This window comes from Homo sapiens, chromosome 11, assembly GCF_000001405.40.
Source record: "Homo sapiens chromosome 11, GRCh38.p14 Primary Assembly".
NCBI lineage: Eukaryota > Metazoa > Chordata > Mammalia > Primates > Hominidae > Homo > Homo sapiens.
The window spans coordinates 85754535-85774978 of record NC_000011.10 but is presented as its reverse complement, the minus strand read 5'-3'; the positions used below and the strand labels follow the sequence as shown (position 1 = coordinate 85774978).

At 42.2% G+C, this 20444-nt stretch overlaps 1 protein-coding gene across 57 annotated transcripts in view, besides 1 other annotated feature; it reads left to right on the top strand.

The window, feature by feature from the left end:
* The window catches only part of SYTL2 (synaptotagmin like 2), a 160642-nt gene that overhangs the window by 79892 nt on the left and 60306 nt on the right, over nucleotides 1-20444 (top strand). For 47 of the 57 annotated variants that reach the window (NM_001394468.1, NM_001394471.1, NM_001394462.1 and 44 more), the window contains one exon: nucleotides 16865-17354. The exons of 7 other annotated variants lie outside the window; for them this stretch is intronic. In NM_001394468.1, the coding sequence (NP_001381397.1) occupies nucleotides 17254-17354 (101 nt within the window). In that variant the 5' untranslated portion in view covers nucleotides 16865-17253. Of the gene's footprint in view, nucleotides 1-1385; nucleotides 1626-16864; nucleotides 17355-20444 lie in introns of all 57 variants that reach the window. 3 more of the 57 variants (NM_001394459.1, NM_001394456.1, NM_001394457.1) reach the window with 2 other exon arrangements.
* Nucleotides 12444-13643: an enhancer, noted in NCBI's record as "MED14-independent group 3 enhancer chr11:85472379-85473578 (GRCh37/hg19 assembly coordinates)". NCBI's record gives its function as "activates an origin of replication core promoter dependent on BRD2, BRD4, P300/CBP and CDK7 cofactors, and independent of MED14, by STARR-seq in HCT116 cells {active_cell/tissue: HCT116}" and the evidence as "EXISTENCE:reporter gene assay evidence [ECO:0000049][PMID:35650434]".

The window sequence follows — 20444 nt, the reverse complement described above, 5'->3', positions numbered from 1 at the left end:
GAGAGATCAGAGTCCAAATGCCTCATTTTACAGGTGAAGTCACCCAGAGAGGTGAGTGAAACAAAGAGTTTCAGTTTTCAGTAGCAGAGCGAAGACCAGAACCCAGATCTTCAACTGCTCTAGGCAGGGCACAGGCTGACCCTAATTAATGAAGTACTAATGATCATTTGTGCCTGCCTTTGGAAGGGTTTAAGGTTTGATTAATACTATAAAGCTCTTGTCCAGATCAGTGCAAGGATTTTTGTTGTTCATGAGGGTATAGGAGAAATAGATTTGCTGATGCTATAACCTCATACTTCCTGCTTGCTCTCCACACTTTGAGTTTATTTATATAAGCTTCTAAATTGGGATCACGTAAAAAATAAAAATTCCTTTTTAACTGGTCTCATTTCACATCAAGTTTAACAACATTCTATCTTGCAAAGCTCGGTATTTGGGGTGTGTAGGGGTTTGAGGGAAACCCCAGCTCCTGTTTGCCTCTTGGGGTTCCTTTGCAGGGCACTGTGTACCTGGCCTTTTCTTCCACCTTTACTGCTGCTCTTCCTGTTATGTCAGAACTTTGGAGCTAGGTAGACCTGAGTTCAAATCCCAACTGTGTTACTTGGAAGCAATTTGAATTTAATGAAGTCCCTTAAGATCCATGAACTTCAGTTTCCTCATTGATAAAATGCGGGTGATGGTGCCTACTTTGCTGGTTTGCCTTATGGTGTAGAGAAAATGTGTGTAAAGATTAAAAAAGGTATTGGAGAAAGATTAAATGTCAGTTCCTTCTCTAATTCTTCAATAAAATTCAAGTCCTACCAATTAATTGCATTAATTTAGTTTTTTATTTTCTATAATATATGCACATAACTTTTAATGTTATTAGTAGTGAACAAGGCTTTTTGGTTTTCTGTGTAATATCACATTCTTTCTTGCTGGCTTTCATCTGAATTTCCAGGGCTTGAGATTTTCAGAAAGTTTAGTGTATAATTTATTCCTTTTAGAGATTTTCCTTCCTCTTGGTAAAAGAAAAAACCACATAGCTGGACATCATTTCTAACTTTGAATTGCCTTTTTAAGAACTATGGTTTAGTTGGTTTAAAGAGAGGTTTTTCAGGGACAAATTTAATATATATTTTTCAGCTCTGCAAAGATTACATTATAAATCTGAATAGCTATATATTTTTTCCTAATAAGGCAAAGGCTTAGAGACAGTTTACTTTCTTTTTTGAATAGAGAAAACATTTATTGAAAAAATAAATTTCTGGTCTTTTGGAATAACACTATAAAATGAATGTGGTACTTTGATGGAATTTGGAACAATATCACCAAACATGGAGTGGCGGGCACAGGTCAGGTGTTGGAAATACAGAGGAGATGAACATGGCATCTCCTTCTTCCAGGAGAGCTCAGGCTGATAAAGGAGACGGATAAGGAAACAGACAGTTGCTATATAATGCCGAGTCCTGTGAGACCAAAGAGGAGGAGACTCTAACTCCACTTATCAGGAAGGGGCTAGACTCATCTTCCGACAGGAGGTGACACCTGGACTCTGTCTTGAAAGATGACTAGGAGTTTAAGAAGCTGGAGAAAGACCTTGCAGGCAAAAGGAGCTGCATGTTCCAAAGACAGAGGTGTGAAAGGTAAGTTTAAAGAACTAACTTCAAGGTACTGTGTCGGGAGAAATGGAAAGGAAGTCAGGGTGTAGATCTGGAGGGGCTAATGTAACGCTGAGTGGTTTGAATTTTATCCTGAAGGCAGTGAAGCCATTGACTGTACCTGCCAGGGAGTCTTACAATGGCAGAAGACCTTAGAGGTCAGAACTGAGCCCTCTTGTTTTTGCAGATGTGGAAACTGAGGCCAAGGAAAGGAAAGGAAAGTGAAACACTCATGGCCATACAGGGAATTAGTGGCTGATAACCTATGTCTTTTATACAGTGGGAAGTAGGGAGAAGGGAACCTTCCCAAGGAAATTTCAGTGTTGACCTTATGAAGGCAGATTCTCATAGGAACATTTGGCCAAGGATTTATCATGGGGACTGCATGGTTTGGGCTAATGACCCCAGCATGCCTTTTGCATATTATTTCCTTTAAAGGAAAGGCCATCACTAGCAAGAAATGCTCTTTGGCTATTTTTAGGCTGTGTGGTAGGGGGAATTAGTGGAATTCCTAAGGTTAGCTCCAGCTGTTTTTCTCCAAAAGGCCAGCTGAATATTTTATGAAATTTGCTCATTAGGGTTTTTATCCTTCTGTGAGGCATTATACTGAGTCTGAGCTCAGGCTGGCCTGAGATATAAGTAAGGGGACTGGAGTTTGGGGAAAACAAAACTGGGGCTGGGCTGGTTGCTGCCCATTTTGATATCTAATGTTAAATGGAGTTTTAGATATGGTTGGTCATTCTGCCTTCATACGCATAGTGAAGGTCCTTCTGGAATATGACAGCTATCATGAAGGATGACTGGATTTTGCAGATTCAGAGACATAATGCCTGGGCAGAGTTGGTGCTGACTGACTGGTGTAACTACCATGTAATAGCACCTTTTATTTAGTAATACAACCTTATAGGACTTCATAGATAGCAAGTCAGATATTCATTAAGACTTATTCAATGGGAGCATGCTTGTGGCTATTTGTTTTCTACAAGTAGAATACTACTTCCTATTGTGTCTCAGGAACTATATATATGAAGATAGGCGAAGTAAAAGCATTCTTCATTTCTTCTAGACTGTACTATGAACCTTTCTTCTTAACCAAATTTATGGGTATCTGCTTAGAGATCATGCTATGTTAGAAGGAGAATGGATCAGCCAGGCACGTGCCTGTAATCCCAGCACTTTGGGAGGCCAAGGCGAGTGGCTCGAGCTCAGGAGTTTGAGACCAGCCTGGGCAGTGTGACGAAACCTTGTCTCTACCAAAAAATAAAAAAATTAGCCAGGCGTTGTGTCATATGCCTGTAGGCCTAGCTGTTTAGGAGGCTGAGATGGGAGGATCGCTTAAGCCCAGGAGGCGGAGTTTGCAGTGAGCTGAGATTGTGCCACTGCACTCTAGCCTGGGTGATAGAGCAAGATCCTGTCTCAAAAAATATATATATATATAACTATAATTATATATAATATTTTGCACTTTATAAAATGTCTTTCCATGCAGGGTCTCATCAGCTCCCTGTGGTGATTCAGCAAAGAGGGTAGGCAGTGGTTAGTCTCAATTTTAGAGATGAGCAAACTAAGGCTCAAGCAAATGCTGTTGGTGGTCACCAAGCTAGTAAGTGGGTAATCAGATTTCAAACCAGATCTTGTGACTTTAAATCTTACGTTCTTTTTCCTTCATGACACTGCCAACTAGACTGCGGAAAAAGGGCCAGTTTCTCCTACAGTGTAAAAGTGGTTCAGGGAATGCCTTGAAAGCGAGGGAATTCTGTTGCATACACAACCAAGGAATGAAGGAGAATCCACAGCATGGGGTTTCTAAACAGGATGGAATAAACGTGAGCTTTGTCCCCCCAGCTCTGAAACAACAGTTGTCTGAGCTAGAACTCAGTGACATTAAACTAACGGTATGTAACTTATGCTAATGAAAGAAATACTGATTTATTACTTTATTACTGTTGGTTGGGATGAATAGTTGTTTACATTCATTTACGTTAATTAACCAAAGACAGGGAGTCTTGCCAAGTTTCCATTTTAAGAATTATATTGAACACTGATGATCGCAGAGATCCAGTGTGCTTCTCCCCTGCTCTCTGAAGTGTCTAAAGGTGAAACCATCCTTAGACTACACCGGTCAGGAAGTCTCGAGAGATGCTCTCAACACTTTGGTAACTATTTATGTTTTTTTCCACTACTATGTATCAGGTGCAGTGTGGCTAAAAATGGACAAAAATCCTTCCCTCAAAGAGTCTAGAAGTGGGAATTTGATATATCTATAAGTTACAAAATGTTAGTTATTGAATAATTACTGTGTTGGGTACCTATATATAAGCATTAATTTTCTTGACAACTCAGTAAGATAGGTATGATGCCCATTTTACAGATGAGAAACCCGAGGCTCAGGGAAGCTAAGTAACTTGTATAATAGGGCCACATTATATTCGGGTCTATCTGACTCTAGAGCCTGGGCTCTTTCCTACTTCAGATGAGAGATGTACGGATAAGTATTATTGGGCTCAGTGAAAGAGAAAATGTTGCCTGCTTGTGGTAGGGGTATTTGTGAGGGGAAATGGGCTGCAGGAGCAGTTTCATGGAGGAGGTGTCATTTACACTGGGACTTGAGTGATAGGAAAGGGTTGGATGTGTGCAGATAAAAGGTAAAGACATTCCAGGTAGAGAGAATGGCATAAACAATGGTCTGGCGATGATAGTGTACAGGTGATATGTGGGGAATGGATGGGCTGTAGTTCAAGGGGTAGGAATGGTCCTGTAGGAAAGAAGATTGGATAGGGAACTTGGAATGAAATGAGAAGGATGCCAATACTGGAGTAAGGAATTTGGACTTCTCTGCCATCAGGGAAGTGCTTGGGAAGGTTTTCGAGTCAAGGCATGGCATGATGAGAGTGGTGCTTTGGATATGAGTCTAGCTGGATTGTGTATGGTAGACAGAAATGAGGGAGAACCAGGAGTGAATGAAGCCATGTTCAGAGAAAATTACATCCGCCTACATGAGTGGTAGACAAGGGGAGAAAGAGTTGTACTGGAGGGAGATTGCACAGGTTCAGTCTGGCAATGATTGGTTTTTAGGATGAGGAGAGGAAAGCATCCATAGTGTCACCTCAGAGTTACTTATGAGGATGTACTTAGTTAACAGGTTCCAGGCAGCATGCTAGGGATTTGTATAGCAGATGCAATACGAATCCAACAGCAATAACTTGACTTGAGCACACCCTGAGCATGACTGTGTGGCAGATTTACCAGAATGTGTGTTCAGAGTTCTGAGCTAATGAATCTGGGAGTGGCCAACCTGGAGATCTATTCCTTATCTATGAGGAACATCTGAGCCCCCAGCTGTCCTGTGAAATGAGGCCCTTTGTTTTGGGTTAAATGATGGTTGCCAGGTGGAGGTTGTTAGGGGAAGGGTGCCAAGTGAAAATGCTACATAAACTGCGTGTTTTTGCAAGTGGTTGTGGTTCTCCTGCCCAGCCTACCACCACGGGCCTGTGCGGTTATTCTGTCCAGCCTGCTGCCACTGGACTGGTGGTTCTCCTGTCCAGCCCACCGCTACTGGACTCTCTTCCCTGTATGTAAGCCGCTGATAAAACCCCATGTTTCATTTGCAGGCTTTGGGTCTCTTCTTCAGCCTCTTAAACTGGGTGCCATCCCTGTTGGAGTCAATAGGGGTTTGGCACAACTCACAGATGGACTCAGAGATGAATAAGTAACATCGTGTCCTCAGACTGTGTATTAATTTTCTATTACTGCTGTGATGAACTTAGGGGCTTAAGACAACACAAACTTATATAATTCTAGAAGTCAGAAGTCTGAAATGGATCTTACAGGCTAAAATCAAGAGATCAACAGAGCTGAATTCCTTCAGGAGGCTCTAGGGGAGAATCTGTTTCCTTGCCTTTTCCAGCTGCTACAGGCTGCCTGCATTCCTTGGCTCATGGCCCCTTCCTCCATCTTCAAAACACATCACTCCAACATTTTCAGCCTCATATCTCCTCTCTCTCCTTCTGACTATTCTAATTCCTTCTTATAAGGACCTTGTGATTACATTGGGCCTCATTAGATAATCTAGGATAATCTCCCCACAAGATTCTTAACAATGATATCTACAAAGTTTCTTTTACCATGTAAGGCAGCATATCTTCAGGTTCCAGGGATTAGGATGTGGGTATCTTTGGAGGACTGTTATTCTGCCTACCATAGAATTAACATACTTATGGAACATAACTTATCAAACTTTTTTGCACAGCCCTTTTTTGGCCTTTTCTGTATTCCATTGAATTGTTTTGCTTTTTTTCTTAATGATCTTTTTTTTCCTCTTCTTCATTTACTCAATAAATGAGGCGCCTGCTATATGCTGGAGACACAGGTTACCAAAGCCTTTCTGCCCACTGCTGGAGGAAGCTAGAGGAGGGCTGTTACTGCAGAACCAGAGACCAAGATATCAAACTCTTGGCTTTTGATTCTCTGAGATTGGGGTCCAGGCCTAAGATGGAAAGATTTAGGAGAATTCTTGTGTTTGAAGAATGAGATCCTTTCACCCAACTTTTCTCCTACCAATACCCCATCTCAAATTTAGAAGATTTAAAAAACCCTCCTCAAAGGTCTCTGCAGCAGGGGGTGGGAGTGTGTGTGCTTGCAGAAACCAAGAATTTGACTCATTCTTAAAATGGTGTAGGAGGTTAGAGGATAGGAAACAGTCTAGTGAGGTAAATAGAAAAGGTAGCAGAAGTAGTTCTCCAACCTTATAATGGCATGGAAAGGGATTGAGTTAGTGAAATGTTGGGGATTTATGTATTGTCATTAGGTGTTTATGGAGCACTTACTGTGTCCCAGGCCATTTTACTTACAGCATAATGTCATCCTCATGGTAACCCTGTAAGGTAGATCTGTTTTGCTGCCCATGTTGAATAGATGAAGAAACAAACGAGAGTCATTAGGGAAACTGCCAAAGAACTAATAGATTAATCCACTTTCAATTATCTTTTGACTCCAAAGCTACAAGTGCATTCTACTACATCACAACACTTCTTCTATTGGGGGTATAGAAAATGAATATAGTAGACATTATTTACCTGTATTAGTTTCAAAATCAGTGTCTCTTTAGAGGATGGTAAGGATCAAGGAAGATCTTGCACACAGTAGGAGCTCAGTGCATCTTTAGTGGGGCAATTTGGCCTGACCAGATGGAATTGAGCAGGTCTGGGACTAGGCTGAGGCAGGTGAAGTGCCTAGAGCACAAAGTCCTTGGAGACAAGGTCATGCAAGTGCTGATGCTCACTTGTAGTACCCTGATAGTGAGTGTCTAACTATGTGCCCTGGGTGTCTTGCTCTTAAGGAGACACTAATTCTCAGAGTGCTGCAGGTGCATAGTGCTGAGCTCACGTGACCTTGCCTCTTTGTATTTTGTGCTCTGGGTGCCTTGCTTGCTTCACCTATAGGTCCTGGATTTGAGCAGAAGCTAGAAGTGGGAGAGAACCGGTTAAATTGTTTTAATTCTGGCTGCATATTACAATCATCTAGGCACCATTCTGAAAAATATCCTAGGTGGGAGTCTCACCCCAGGCCATTTAAATCAGAATTGTTGGGGGAGAGAGGGAGGATGAAGAGACTTGGGCATTGGTATTTTTAGAAAAATCTTTTCAGATGATGCTAATGTACAGCCAATTTTTGGAACCCCCAAGTTGGTACATTTGGGGAGAGTCCCTCATTCCCAGTCTGGTTAGGAGTGTATGTGATTGTACCAAAAGTGAGGCTTTCTCACTTTGAGTTTTTCTGTGGTCCTTTTAAAGTCTGGGCTGGTGATGGCTACAGTTCAGTTAACTTTATGATCCTGAGTTTAATTCCAGCCTAGTTAATAAATCAGCTTGTTCTTCCACTCCCTTCCTTTGAATTTGAAACCTAGAAAATAATTAAATCTGATATTCATCTGTAATTTGGGCTGTTATCAGTGTTTGGCTTTTAGGGGTGCTGTGAAATGCAGCCCAAACCATTTATTAGCCAGTTTGCAAATCCTTATTTACGTTGAAATTGTGTATGTCCTAGAGGGTAAAGGAGATCTTCTCTGCATGTCCTAGCTCCAATGTTAGGCAGTTGTGTGACCTTAAGCAATTGGTCTAACCCTTTTTCATCACAGATTCCTCATCCACGCAAAGAATTAGTTATGACTCTCTGATTTGACTGTTACTTTGTTTCATGTGTTTTCTCTTGTAACAGCTGAAAACAATTGATATACAAATATGCGTGTTTAACTTTGCTAATTGCTGTGTATCCACATCATGTGGGAACATTTTAGAAAATGCAGATTGCTGGACATCAGCTTTGAAGAGTTTGGTTCAGTAAGCCTTGAGCAATGTCTGGGAATCTGCTGCTGATCAGCCAGATTTGAATACTGCTGTTTATTGAAGCAATCATGAATATAATGAAAGTGATAGCACTCCCAATTTAGATGTCACTGTAGAGTGTGCTGTTGACAGAGATCGTACTTCTCTTCAAGGAAGCCTTCCCTGGCTCCCCAAGAGTACATTAAATCCTCTGGTTAAAAGTTTTATAGCCCACTGCCTTTCTGCTCTGTGAGACTTCTTGGGCTTGTTCAGTATCTGCCCTCCTTTCCAGAATCTAAACTCTCTGAGGCAGGGGACGGCATACATTATCAGAACTTCTGGCGCATACAAATTACCCTCTTCCAGAATGAGATCTGGGCCTGCGGTGGATGCTGCCATTCCAAGGAGAGAGGAAGTTTCTCTCTGGTATTTTGAACTTAGGCAAGCCTCTTGGTGCTTCCCAAGCTGTGTAGTTAATAAAAGCCCATGGATATGGTGGCTTTTGCAGCAGCTTCATGCAATATCAGAACTCTGTTCTATGTGGCTTAAAGTCCTTCGTGATATGTTGTCAAAGATAAGTCACCCCTTTTGTAGACTGCCGTCTCTCTTCTACATATGATTTGAATTTTCAGCTCAGGTATGAAGTTTAAAATGAACTTTCAGCTGCCCATTTCCTCAGATCTTTTCTTTCTTTACTGTTTTTCTTTCTTAGAATGCTGATCAAGAAAATATAGATTAAAAGGATGGTTCTAGCACATTTATCAAGACTGGCAAGCATGAAAAATTCAGGTTCAAACTCCCCCCCTTGACACTTTAGGCCTCTTGGGGTCCAACCTTGGTCACTTGCCCCATTTACACCCTGTACTCCCGTTACCAGCCTTCTTTTTGAATACCTTTATGGTTTCAGGGTCCAGCGCTCTTGCCCAGAATGCCTACCTCCTTCTCTAATACAGCCTTCAAGGCTCACCTCATTTTATCTCCTTCCTAAATCTCTGTGGCCTACCTGACACTTGGTGTGTGCCTCCTTTATTAGTAGCTGACATACTTGTATTATGGTTGGTCATGTGTGATGCTGTCTCCTCACATAGCCCATTATCTTGCGCTTGGTTGGGGCTTGGTTAACATATTTTATTCCTAGGGGTATTGTAAGTTTAAACCTGTGGCCTAGCAATTGCAGAAAATGAGCTTTTCAGAAACCCAGGGATGTTATTGTTAGGTGTGAATATGAGATTAAGGAGTAGGGGGAATTGTCAGATAAGGTAGTCTTTCTACCTGTCTTTCCCTCTTCATTCATAATTTGAGACCACCAAGCCAGTTTCCAGAAGATACTAGCTGTCTGCTACTCAGCCTGGACCTGGAGGAGATGAATGAAGTAGAAAGATGGCTTCCATCTTTGGAAGAATCCTTACAAAAGTGAAAGCTTTGTATTTTGAGATGCTGTCCATTTTTAATTTTCAGTTGGCTCTATAAAAAATGGCAACTGCCAGGCGCGGTGGCTCACGCCTGCAATCCCAGCACTTTGGGAGGACAAGGTGGGCAGATCACGAGGTCAGGAGTTTGAGACCAGCCTGGGCAACATGGTGAAACCCCGTCTCTACTAAACACACAAAAATTAGCTTGGCATGGTGGCAGGTGCCTATAATCCCAGCTACTCAGGAGGCTGAGGCAGGAGAATCATTTGAACCTGGGAGGCGGCGGTTGCAGTGAGCGGAGATCACGCCCTTGCACTCCAGCGTGGGTGACAGGGCGAGACTCTGTCTCAAAAAAAAAGGCAACCTATTGTTGGATAGCTTATCCTTTCTTATTCTATCTATATCCTTTCATTTGTTCACCTCTTTATAAAGAAGTTCATTTTATTTGTTCATTCAACTATTATTTTTTAAGAGGCTACCTTGAACCAGTCACAAGACAATTCTTTCCTCTCAAGAAGCCCAACTTAAGCCACCCACTACATTGAGTAATTTATGTGTTTTTTAAAAATAGAACACTGAAGACTCTGACCACACAGAAACAAAATATTCATGTAGCATTGTTACCCACCTGTGCGTGGACAAAGTTTGCTTTTCGTATAAACACATTTCTGTGTACGCATATTACAAAACATTTTGATTGAGCCTAAGCATATAAAATGTAGGTTCTTTCAGTAATAGTTTCTGGTTCGAGGGATTGATACCATTCTAAGAGGCTAGTAGGCATATATAAATAGGTGCATGTTGACACAGATGCCTTTTTTCCCCTCTATCTCATGCATATCCTCTTTTCCATGTCTATCCATAAACCAAATCCAAAGGGACTGATCATTTTCTAATTCCTAACAAGTTGTCCTTAGAAGAGCATGCCATGCCTTGAGGGCTGATGCATGTTGCCCATAAGAAATGACAAAGTCAAATGTACAGAGGGAGAAACAGCAGGGTGAAAAGAGAACAGTCTAGGAATCAGGAAACTTGGGTTCTAGTGTCATCTTTGCCCCTAACCAGCTGTGTGATCTCTCTGAGAAGTAGGGGATTAGTGATGCAGTGAAAGATGAAAAATAGTGGCTTCAGAATCTGAAGACTTGGGTTCAAATCATATCCTGGTTGAGTAGCCTTAGGCAAGTTATTTAACTTGAGCGCCAGTGTTCTCTTCCATGGGATGTGGAGAATACCTATCTGCATGGTGGTCAGAGTGGTTAAACTAAAATATGTGTAAAGGGCTTAGCACCGCCTGCGCATTTTTTCAGTCTGGAGGGAAATGACCAAGATCATGAGAGGCTTAGAGAACAACATGTGAGGAACAGTTGAGGGAACAACAAAGTTTTTTATCCCCTCAACTAAGAAGAGGTGGGGAGAGCATGACATCTTTTTTGTAAACTATTATGTGCAAGGGAGAATAAATTAAATGGGGTTCAAGTGGGCAGGGTAAAATGTAGCCAATGTGAAGAACTTAGGGGCAAGTCCAACCAAGTGAGCCTGAGAAGCGGAGCAGCCCAGCTGTGCAGTTAGCAGCTTTAGGCATGGATGCCCTGGCAGTGTGATCTGATGATCATCGGGCTGGTACACTGGAGGGAAATCTTTCTGCTGAGAGGGAGGTGAGCAAAGAGTCTCTGATTGTCACATTCAACTTGTTCCGTCTTTGGCTTCTCCTTCCTTCCATCCTTTGATGCTGCTGTGATCCTAGGAAGTTTACAAAGCATTTAGTTTTATGCACAATGGTTTCGTAAGTGTTCCGGTGGGGATGAGCCTTCTTGTTGATCAGGGCCTTTTTGTCTGGCGGCATTCTCCCCAACTCAGGCATATTACTGCTCTTCTGTTGCTGCCTGGATTTTTTTTTTTTTTGAAGCCTTCATTCTTGATGTCATGGGACTGTCAGGACAATTTGCCTGTCTTCTGAAATCCTCATCATGTGAGAGTCACCATTTATGTAAGTTTTACACTCCTTGCCTTTGGTACAACAATACTGTCTGGGAAAGCAGAAGATGCTATCTGTGTTATCTGGGCCCCTCCTCACAGCAGAGCCTGCTGGGAAGGAAATTTGGTTGTTAATTAGACTTTAACCTGGGATTAGAATTTTAATTGGAATTAGAGTTAGAAGCCCAGATCCACTCTTTGCTGCCTATCAAAGGCAAGCACCAACTATGTGGGGCCTTAGTTTTTCTCTCTAGCTTAACTTTTGGACAATTGACAAGAAGAGTATTAGTATTCATAGATGTGGCATGGTAGGGCTGACACATGGAAAATATGAATTAAGCAGAGTCCACATTTGGAGTCCTCCAATTTCCCTTTGTGCTGCTATTTCTACCGCTGCTCCTTATCCTTCTTTGTCCTCTGCGGTGTCCTGAATTCTCACCAGAGCCTCACAGTAATCTCCACAAGGAAGAGAATATACCCATCATATGCATGAGATAACCAAGACTTAGAGAAGTCATTCAACTTATTCAAACCACAGAATGATGTGAAAGATCTGGAGCTGGAACCCATTGAATAATATTGACCTAGTTTTTCATTTATGGGCCCTAGAGCTATGTTCATGTTCAGGGGGAAATAGAAGCTCAATCCCCTTCCACCTGTGTTCATCATTTTTTTTTTTCATGAACACTTGAGTGCCTAGTAGATGCAAGACAGTGGCAAGAGCTGGGAATACAAATCACTGGGAGACACAAGCCTTGTTCATAAACTGGCAAGAGACAAACATGAGTAAGTAGGGATTTGAGACCGTGTGATGAGTACTGTGACTGATGAAGTCAGGTGCTAATTGAGCACATAGGAGGGGCACCTAAGCTGGCTTGGAGGGGTTAGGGAAGACTTTTGTGCAGTAAGTGACATGTAACTTGAGACCTAACAAGTATTAACCAGGGAAATGCTGTTCCAGGACGAAGGAACAGCACATGCAAAAGCCTGAAGGCAAGAAGAACTGGAAAATTTCAGAATGGCTGGAGCCTAAGGAAAAGAGCTTGGAGAGTAAAGCAGGTGCTAGTTCATGGAGAGTCCTACAGGCCGCTTAAGGATTTTGAGTTTTAGTCAATGGTCAGTGGGAAGTTGGTGAAGGATTTTAAGCCTGAGAATGTGTCTTGGTCAGAACTGAGTTTTAGAAAAATGACTCAGCATCATGCTGAATGGAGGATGGGTAGGAGAGGCTGAACCCAAGGAGAACTTGCCCCAGGAGTTCCTCCTGTGAACACATCAATAATATCTGTGAACAATGGGTATATTCACTCCTACCCTCCCTTCTTTACTGAGGTTATTGTGAGGCTCTGGTGAGAATGCAAGACACTGTAGTAGCCAAAATTCTTCCCTCACAGTTTAGCACTGAGGTTGCCCCCGTTCTGACTGCCGGGTCTGGGTCGGTGAGTCTCTTATACTTAAGCAGAGAATGAGGGTCCACAGAGACAGGGGTTTTGTTCTGCCTCGCTGATTGGAGGAATCTGTGTGAAGAGAAGAATTAAATGAAATGTCAATGTTGGGTTGGCTTATTCTGACACAACCATCAGCAAATGCCAGTCAGACATAAGCTTGGTGGCAAATGCCCCCCTCAGCCTCACTCTCCTCATGTGAAAAACACAGATAATAAGACCTACCTTGGGCTGGGTGTGGTGGCTCATGCCTGTAATCCCAATACTTTGGGAGGCCGAGGCCGGCAGATCACTTGAAGCCAGGAGTTCAAGACCAGCCTGTACAACGTGGCAAAGCTGCAACTCTACCAAAAATACAAAAATTAGCTGGGCATGGTCGTGGGCGCCTGTAATCCCAGCTACTTGGAAGGCTGAGGCATGAGAATTGCTTAAACCCAGGAGGTGGAAGTTGCAGTGAGCCGAGATTGTGTCACTGTACTACAGCCTGGGCAATGGAGTGAGACCCTGTCTCAATACATAAGACCTACCTCAGAGTGTCTTTGTGAGGATTCCATGAGAGGTATGTACAGCGCCACATGTGTAGAAGGGACCAAGTAAATGTTTGCTGCCTTTTTGTCTGGCTTTCTTTAATGCTGCTTCATCTCAGAGTAAAAGCCAGAAGTCTTACTGTCCTCACAAGGCCTAATACAGTCTTACCCGTGTCCTTTCCGGCCTCCTCTCCTCCTGCTCTCCTGGGGGCATTCTGGTGTACCAGCACTGGTCACCTTGCCATTTCTTGAATGTGCCAGACAACTCCCACCTCAGAACCCTGGGATATCTGCATGGCTTGTTTCCTCATCGCTGTCACGTTTTTGTTCAAATATCACCTTCTCAATGAGGCCTACCCTAACCACTCTCTTTAAAATTCCTACTCTCCCTGAGTTATTATTCTCCTCCCTTCCCTTTTTTGTTTTCCTCCATAGTTCTCATCACCTTCCAATGTGTTATAATTTAATTATTTGGTATTCAAAAACTTATTTTTATTATTTAGTTTGATTGTTTCCATCCATTGCCATATGAACTCCACAAAGGCAGGAAGTTTTTCTGTCTTGTTCCCTTGCTGCACCTCCAGTGCTTAGAATAGTGCCAGTCTCTCAATAAATCTTTGTCAAGTGAGTGAGGGAAATGTTCAGTTAGCTCCCATGCTGGACATCATCCAGAATATTAGGAGTTGGGTGAGCACCTCATACTGCAGAATCTTGATTGCCCTCTGAGGGCTCTCTTACAGTTTGATTGGGCACTGATTCCTACCTACCCAATTAAAAGGGAAGGGTTCCAGCCCTTCACTCCTTTGTAAAGTGGAAACATTGCCCTTTGCCTCACTAACAGCCTATTTTAAGGGAGAAATTTTAACCCTCAGAGCTTTGACACAGAAGCACTTGTTAGGTTGTATTCTGCTTGAAGGCGTGGAAGCCAATGTTGCCCATTTCAGCAACCCTGCCAGTTACCACTGCTAGACGACCTAAGTTTTTCATTGTTGTTGTTTTCTTCCTGTCCACCACTCCTTGAATTTAAAGTCTCACATCGAACCAACCAAATGGCAGTGTAAGACCTCATTGGGAACCTGGGTCCCAGAATGTGGCCTAAATCTATTTTCTTGCCAGCTTTTGAGATCTAAGGAAGTTACTGCACGTGAAAGAAAGGAAATAATTGAGATAGCCATCTCTTGGTGATATTGTATATTTGAATCAGGTTCATTTATTCATTTGCTCATTCTTTTATTTGTTCACATTCAGAGACTCACAATCAAGAGAGACTGAGAGTAGATCATCACAGCAGTGGATGTGTATTTGGAGGAGAAAGTGTTTGTATTAGCAGGTTCCTGCTGCGGGAGTATCGTATAACAACTCCCAAACCTCAGTGGCTTCCAACAACAAATACTTAGTTTTTTCTTTTATATCTATAGGTCAGCAGGGATACCTGCTTCAGGGAGGTCAGGTTCAGGTCTGTCCTTTTATCTCTTTCTGGAACCCAGGATGAAGAGGCAATGAATAACTGGGACAAGCTCTTCTCATGGCATGTGGCAGGAATACAAGAAGCCAGATCAAACCACAAAAGCACATTTACAGCCTATGCTTGCATCACATTTGCTAACATTCCATTGGCCAAAGCGAGTCACAGGCCAAGCCCAACATTAGGAGGATAGGGATGAATTCTTTGCTTACTCTGGTGGGAACATGATAGTATAGTTCTGTTACAGGGAGGAAATGAAGAGTTAGGAATAATCATTGAATCTGCTGCAACTTTAACTTGGGGTATGGAAGTTATGGAAGGCTTCATGGAGGTGGTAACTTTGATTTGTCTTGAAGGGTAAGTAGTTTTCAAGATGAACAAGCAGGTAGTAGCATATGCAAGCACATGCAAATTAAAAAGAAAATGAAGTAATGTCTTAATATTTATTTGAGTAATTACTGTGGACAGTATGCAGAGAGCTAGAGGAAATTAAAACAAAGGTCATTAGATTCCCTGTCAATGAAGCCCAAACTTCATGGGGGGAGATCAGAAAGAGACATAATACAAAAGAGAAATATATTACTAAGTATAGTCTTATTCAGCTGGATGGAAAAAAAGTGTGAACTCAGAGCGGAAGCTAGAATATAGTTTTAGTAGCTATTTTTGGTACAGAATGCAAGACATGTGCTCTTTTTATATTCATTATTTCATTTAATCCTTACAATCTGTGAGGGACATCCTAATGTCAAGCACAAATGAGAAAACAGCTTCACAGTGGTCGGTAACTTGCCCAATGACTTATAGCTAGTAAGTGGTAGAAGGATAACTTCCCAGTAATTCTGTTTTTCAAGTAATTAATTTTTATAAATTTTATTCACTAATGTACATACTGTTTTATTCTTAAGTGGGGCTGCTTTAAAATTTTTTTTTCTTTCTTTTTTTTTTTTTTTGATAAGGAGTCTCACTCTGTCACCCAGGCTGGAGTGCAGTGGTGTGATCCCGGCTCACTGCAACCTCCGCCTCCCGGGTTCAAGAGATTCTCCTGCCTCAGCCTCCTGAGTAGCTGGGATTACAGGCGTGTGTCACCACACCCAGCTAATTTTTGTATTTTTTAGTAGAGACGGGGTTTCACCATGTTGGTCAGGCTGGTCTCGAACTCCTGACCTCAGGTGATCCACCCACCTTGGCCTCCCAAAGTGCTAGGATTACAGGCATGAACCACTGCACCCAGCCTGCTTTAAAATTTACTAAAGGTTTTTAGTGTGTATGTTCAGCACTGCACTTGTTAAAAGTGCCCCAACCTTGAGTGGATCACCTCCGAATTTCTGTAGGGCTGTGTCATTCTTCACTTCTCACTTCCTTCCCATTACATATGTATTGAAGATGCCTCAAAGAAAATAGGATTCTTGCACATTGTGCAACTGAAAAATCCTCACTTTGGATGGTGAGGTGTTTTGAAACTCTGCCTCTTCCTTTCCTCCAGTTTATATACACACACAGGTAGGTGTTTTTCCCCTGAGAAATGAAAGTAGACAAGCTTGTTAGGTTCCTCTAGGTCCAGCAAAGGTTAGCAGTGAGACTGGATGAAGAATAACAATTCTCACTCTTCTGCAAACTATCTCTATCTAATACTAGTTCTCCTGTTAATATGGAGCACATATATAGTACAGTGGAATATTCTTACTTGTGAAGAGGTGAGCATTTAAAATTTTTATTTCTAGATTCTTGCTTGACCACTGGAATCACATATCCCTGATCTTACTGACCTTTAACATGACTTTTTAGCCTAGCATCCCCAGAGTTTGCAGAGAGAGAACCAGTTCATTTTTGCAACCATCCTTTACTCAGGTGGATCGTTAAACACTGACAGGCATTTTTGTGGGTTCTCCATCTTGGCCGTCTGGAATAGGGTTGAAGCATGTTTCATGACCCATTTACCATTTGCTCAGGAAGCTGGCTGAACTGGTTTCCTTGATCTCAGAGACCATCTCGCATGGCCATTTAAAAATCTTGTAGTAATGAGTAGTGCTTATAGGAACTGCCTCTCACTGTCTGGTGTTTGCTGTCTCATGATTCCCCAGGTAGGTGATGCTCTGATGCTGCTGCCTCTTATGAATTGACGACAGGTGCAGAGAGAGAATAAACTGTGTCTAAGACTGGACCAGAGAGTGAGTGTGCTGGAAGCCACCATAGGAACAAGCGACCTGTTTGGCAAGGAATACAGCATCCTTCTGAGAGCCTCTTCTCGACACTATCCCACAGACCAGGACTTCCTCATGGGAAAGAGCACTTAGGATCTTGCTATCAGCTGCCCTAAACTTTTGCTGAGCCAAAATAAGACTTTGATGCAGAACTGAACAAGATATTTCATTTTTGTGTGTTTTAATCTTCCTGGTTGCAGTCTTAGTTGTTCAGCCCTGAGAATTTTGAGCCACATTTGTTGCTATTATTTTTGCATGCACTTTTCAAAATGATTGACTTAAGCTTCCTGACTGAAGAGGAACAAGAGGCCATCATGAAGGTTTTGCAGCGGGATGCTGCTCTGAAGAGGGCCGAAGAAGAGAGAGTCAGGTAAGAGGCCAGAGAAGCCTTGGGCATGAGGGAAGGAAGAGGCAGTCTGTACGAAAATAGGACACTGGGGTTTTTTTCAACTATAAGTGGTAGTTCTGACTCGAAGACTGAATTTATGGATTCCAATTTTAGGTTTACTTCCTGGACAAAACATTTTTCCTCTTGGTGCCTCTTAATTTATCCTACTGGACTCCTACCAGAAATAGGGTCTTGATTAAAAACCTAACTAAATTCCTTTAACTTATTAAATACTGAGATAAAAATGAAATGTATACAACCACATACATCTACATTTGTGTGTGTGTGTGTATTTCTATCCACTTAAAAAAACTGGATCTACTTTTTTTTAACTGAATCATGAACCAAATTAGAATTTTAAAAAATTTTTAGAATTTTGAAAAGAAAATAAATTAAACTAGCTCACATTTCTGCATGCTTTCAGAAATGTTGGAATTGGTTTTAATGGCAACTGAAAGTATTCTCTGAGCCAATTTTTCATTTGTCTTGGGTCCCATAAAGAGGAGTGGCAACTTTGATACACTATTCTTGTTGGGTGGAACCCAAATGTTCCATGTCAACATTCCTGCCACTTTCATTCACCTTTGTTGTCAAACAAGCACTAGGCCAGGATGCTGAAGAACTTGACTTTGTCCAGGCCCTGCCATTTACTGCCTGTGTAATCTTGGGCTTTGAAGGCAGCGACAGGCTTCCTGAATGTAAGTTAGTATTATTAATTTTATGATTCTCGCTCCAGGAGTTATCCAAAAGGAGCATAAGATATGTTCTTACTTCCTGGGACACAGGACCATGAATAATGGCTTTATTTTTACCATTTCCGTATCTTGACACTGATTTAACGTGGATGATTTATAAAAGAACATGCTAGAATTCACTTCAACCACTACAGAATGTCTGATTATGACTACTAAAATAACTTCTATATAGACAGTATTTAACAAGTTGCAAAGGGCTTAACATGCCCATTATTTTTTATGAGCTCACATACTCTTTTGCGGTTGGTGGGTGGAGTGGGATATAATTACCCCATTTGATGTGTCAGGAAGTTGACTTTGAGACAAGTCAGGTGACTCGCCCAATATCACACAACTGGTAGGTGTCAGAAGTGAGAATCAAATCCCAGTCTTAGGTACTCATTTGTTAACTCCACCTCCTCTCCCTGAGAAAACAATAACAGACAGGCCATCCCAGGACCTGGCAATGGAGGAAGGGGCTGGCTGTCATGGTGTGAAGTAGGACACTGAGCTATGATGACAAGCAGTGGCTGTAGGTAGTGGGGATCATGCTGTTCCTCAAAGGTCCCTTGCAATGCACACCTGGATGGGGCTCTGCTGTGCCTTCTCCGCAAATGGTGTGCCTTAAACAGTGTCCCCAGGAGAGGTGAAGGATTGTCACTAACCCAGGCATTAGAGCCTCTTGGTAGCATTAATCCTCTACCCATTGACAGTTTATAAAGCCCTTTTATGAATGTTATCCTCTTATGTTCTTCACAGCAACCCTGACATTTGGCAAAGCAGGGACTATTGCAACCATTGAGGAGTAAGGGCAGGAGGTGGGGGAGCATAGAGAAAATATTGATTCTTTAAGCATAAGGGGAAATGGTATTTCCTTTACCCTCCCAAAAGAAAAGATTGGGGGAAGGACTTAGAAAGCAGTAGAGCTGGGACTGCACTGAGTCTCTCTTTCTACCTCAGGATGTGGGCCCCTGCATTTTGGAGAGGTGCAAGTACCTTTGATTCCTTCTGCTCAGGAGGTGTTATTTATGGTCTGCAATTCTGCCCCTCTAGATAGTCAGCTTACGAGGAGAAAGCCTCCTTTCATTTCCTCCCTCCCTTCTATCTTTTCTTGGCACCTGGGATTCCAAGCTGCTGAGTCTTGTCTGTAGTTCTATGATTCTGTCTGAATAGAGTGAAGGTGTTTCTTGGGCACTTGCATTGGTTGATGAAAATATCCTCAAAAAATGCAAAGTTCTGCCTGAAATTAGGCCTTATAAGGGGTGTGAGTGTGTACCCTCTGGCATCAGCCAATCTACAACTTCAGCGAAAATGGTGTGAGTCCCTTCCTAGTGTTGGTGTTGCAGACACTCCTTCTGTCTGTTGTTTCTGAAGGTGCCCCAGCAGCTGCGACTGGTGCTGCCTTTGTGTTTTGCTTTTGTGACTAAATGGCAGGAAGAAGGCTTGGATTGGTGAAAAGCCTGGTGTGAGTCAAGCCCTACCTACCATCATTTTCCCAAGAGACTTTCTAGTTAGGCACCATGTACCTCATGTGGACTTGGCCATGGACAGTTTCAGGACCCTGGAGCTAGGGAGCAGTGACAGTGCACAGATAGATGGCAGACCTATGGCTTGTGGACCCTGAAAAAGGCTCAACTCATAGCCTGACCCCCTCTTTGCTTTAGGCCTGAAGGGACTTGTGGGGATAGTTTGGAGGTTGTTCTGCTCCTCGGATGGTGGAACCAGAACTGGATCTCTGAAAATGTTACTCCATGGGCTTTTGTTTGTCAGCGCCTTTTCCATTCCATTGCTGTTTGTCTTTGCCTCTTCTACCAGAGTTATAGCCTAATAACTATGAAATTTTTTTTTGTTGTTGTTCCATATCAGTCATTTTACAGAAAAAAAGATAAAGCCCAGAAAGGGTAAATGACTTGCCCAGGGCCACACATTAAGTCAGTGCCAAAGCCATGATGAGAAATCTCTTGGGCCGGTGCTTTTCCCTCTGCTCTATTCTGCTCATCGTTGTTATTCTTTCAGAAAGGAACAGTAAGGGTTTGATCATGACACAAAAAACTCTGCTGCTTGGAACCGGAGATGAAACTGACATGCGTTTGCATCTCATTCCTACCACTAATGAACTGTGTTTCACTGGGCAAGTTATTTAACCTCTCTGAGCCTCAACTCAGAGTGGGCATGATCATAATACTACATTTAAATTCAAAAGATTAATGTCAGGATTAAGTAAAATAATTTTTAGGAAGCAAGAGATAGCGAGAGATTTGATAAAGGATACAAAATTACAGTGACCTGATGACTATATGTTATGTATATCAAAACATCACTGTTTCCTCATGAATAT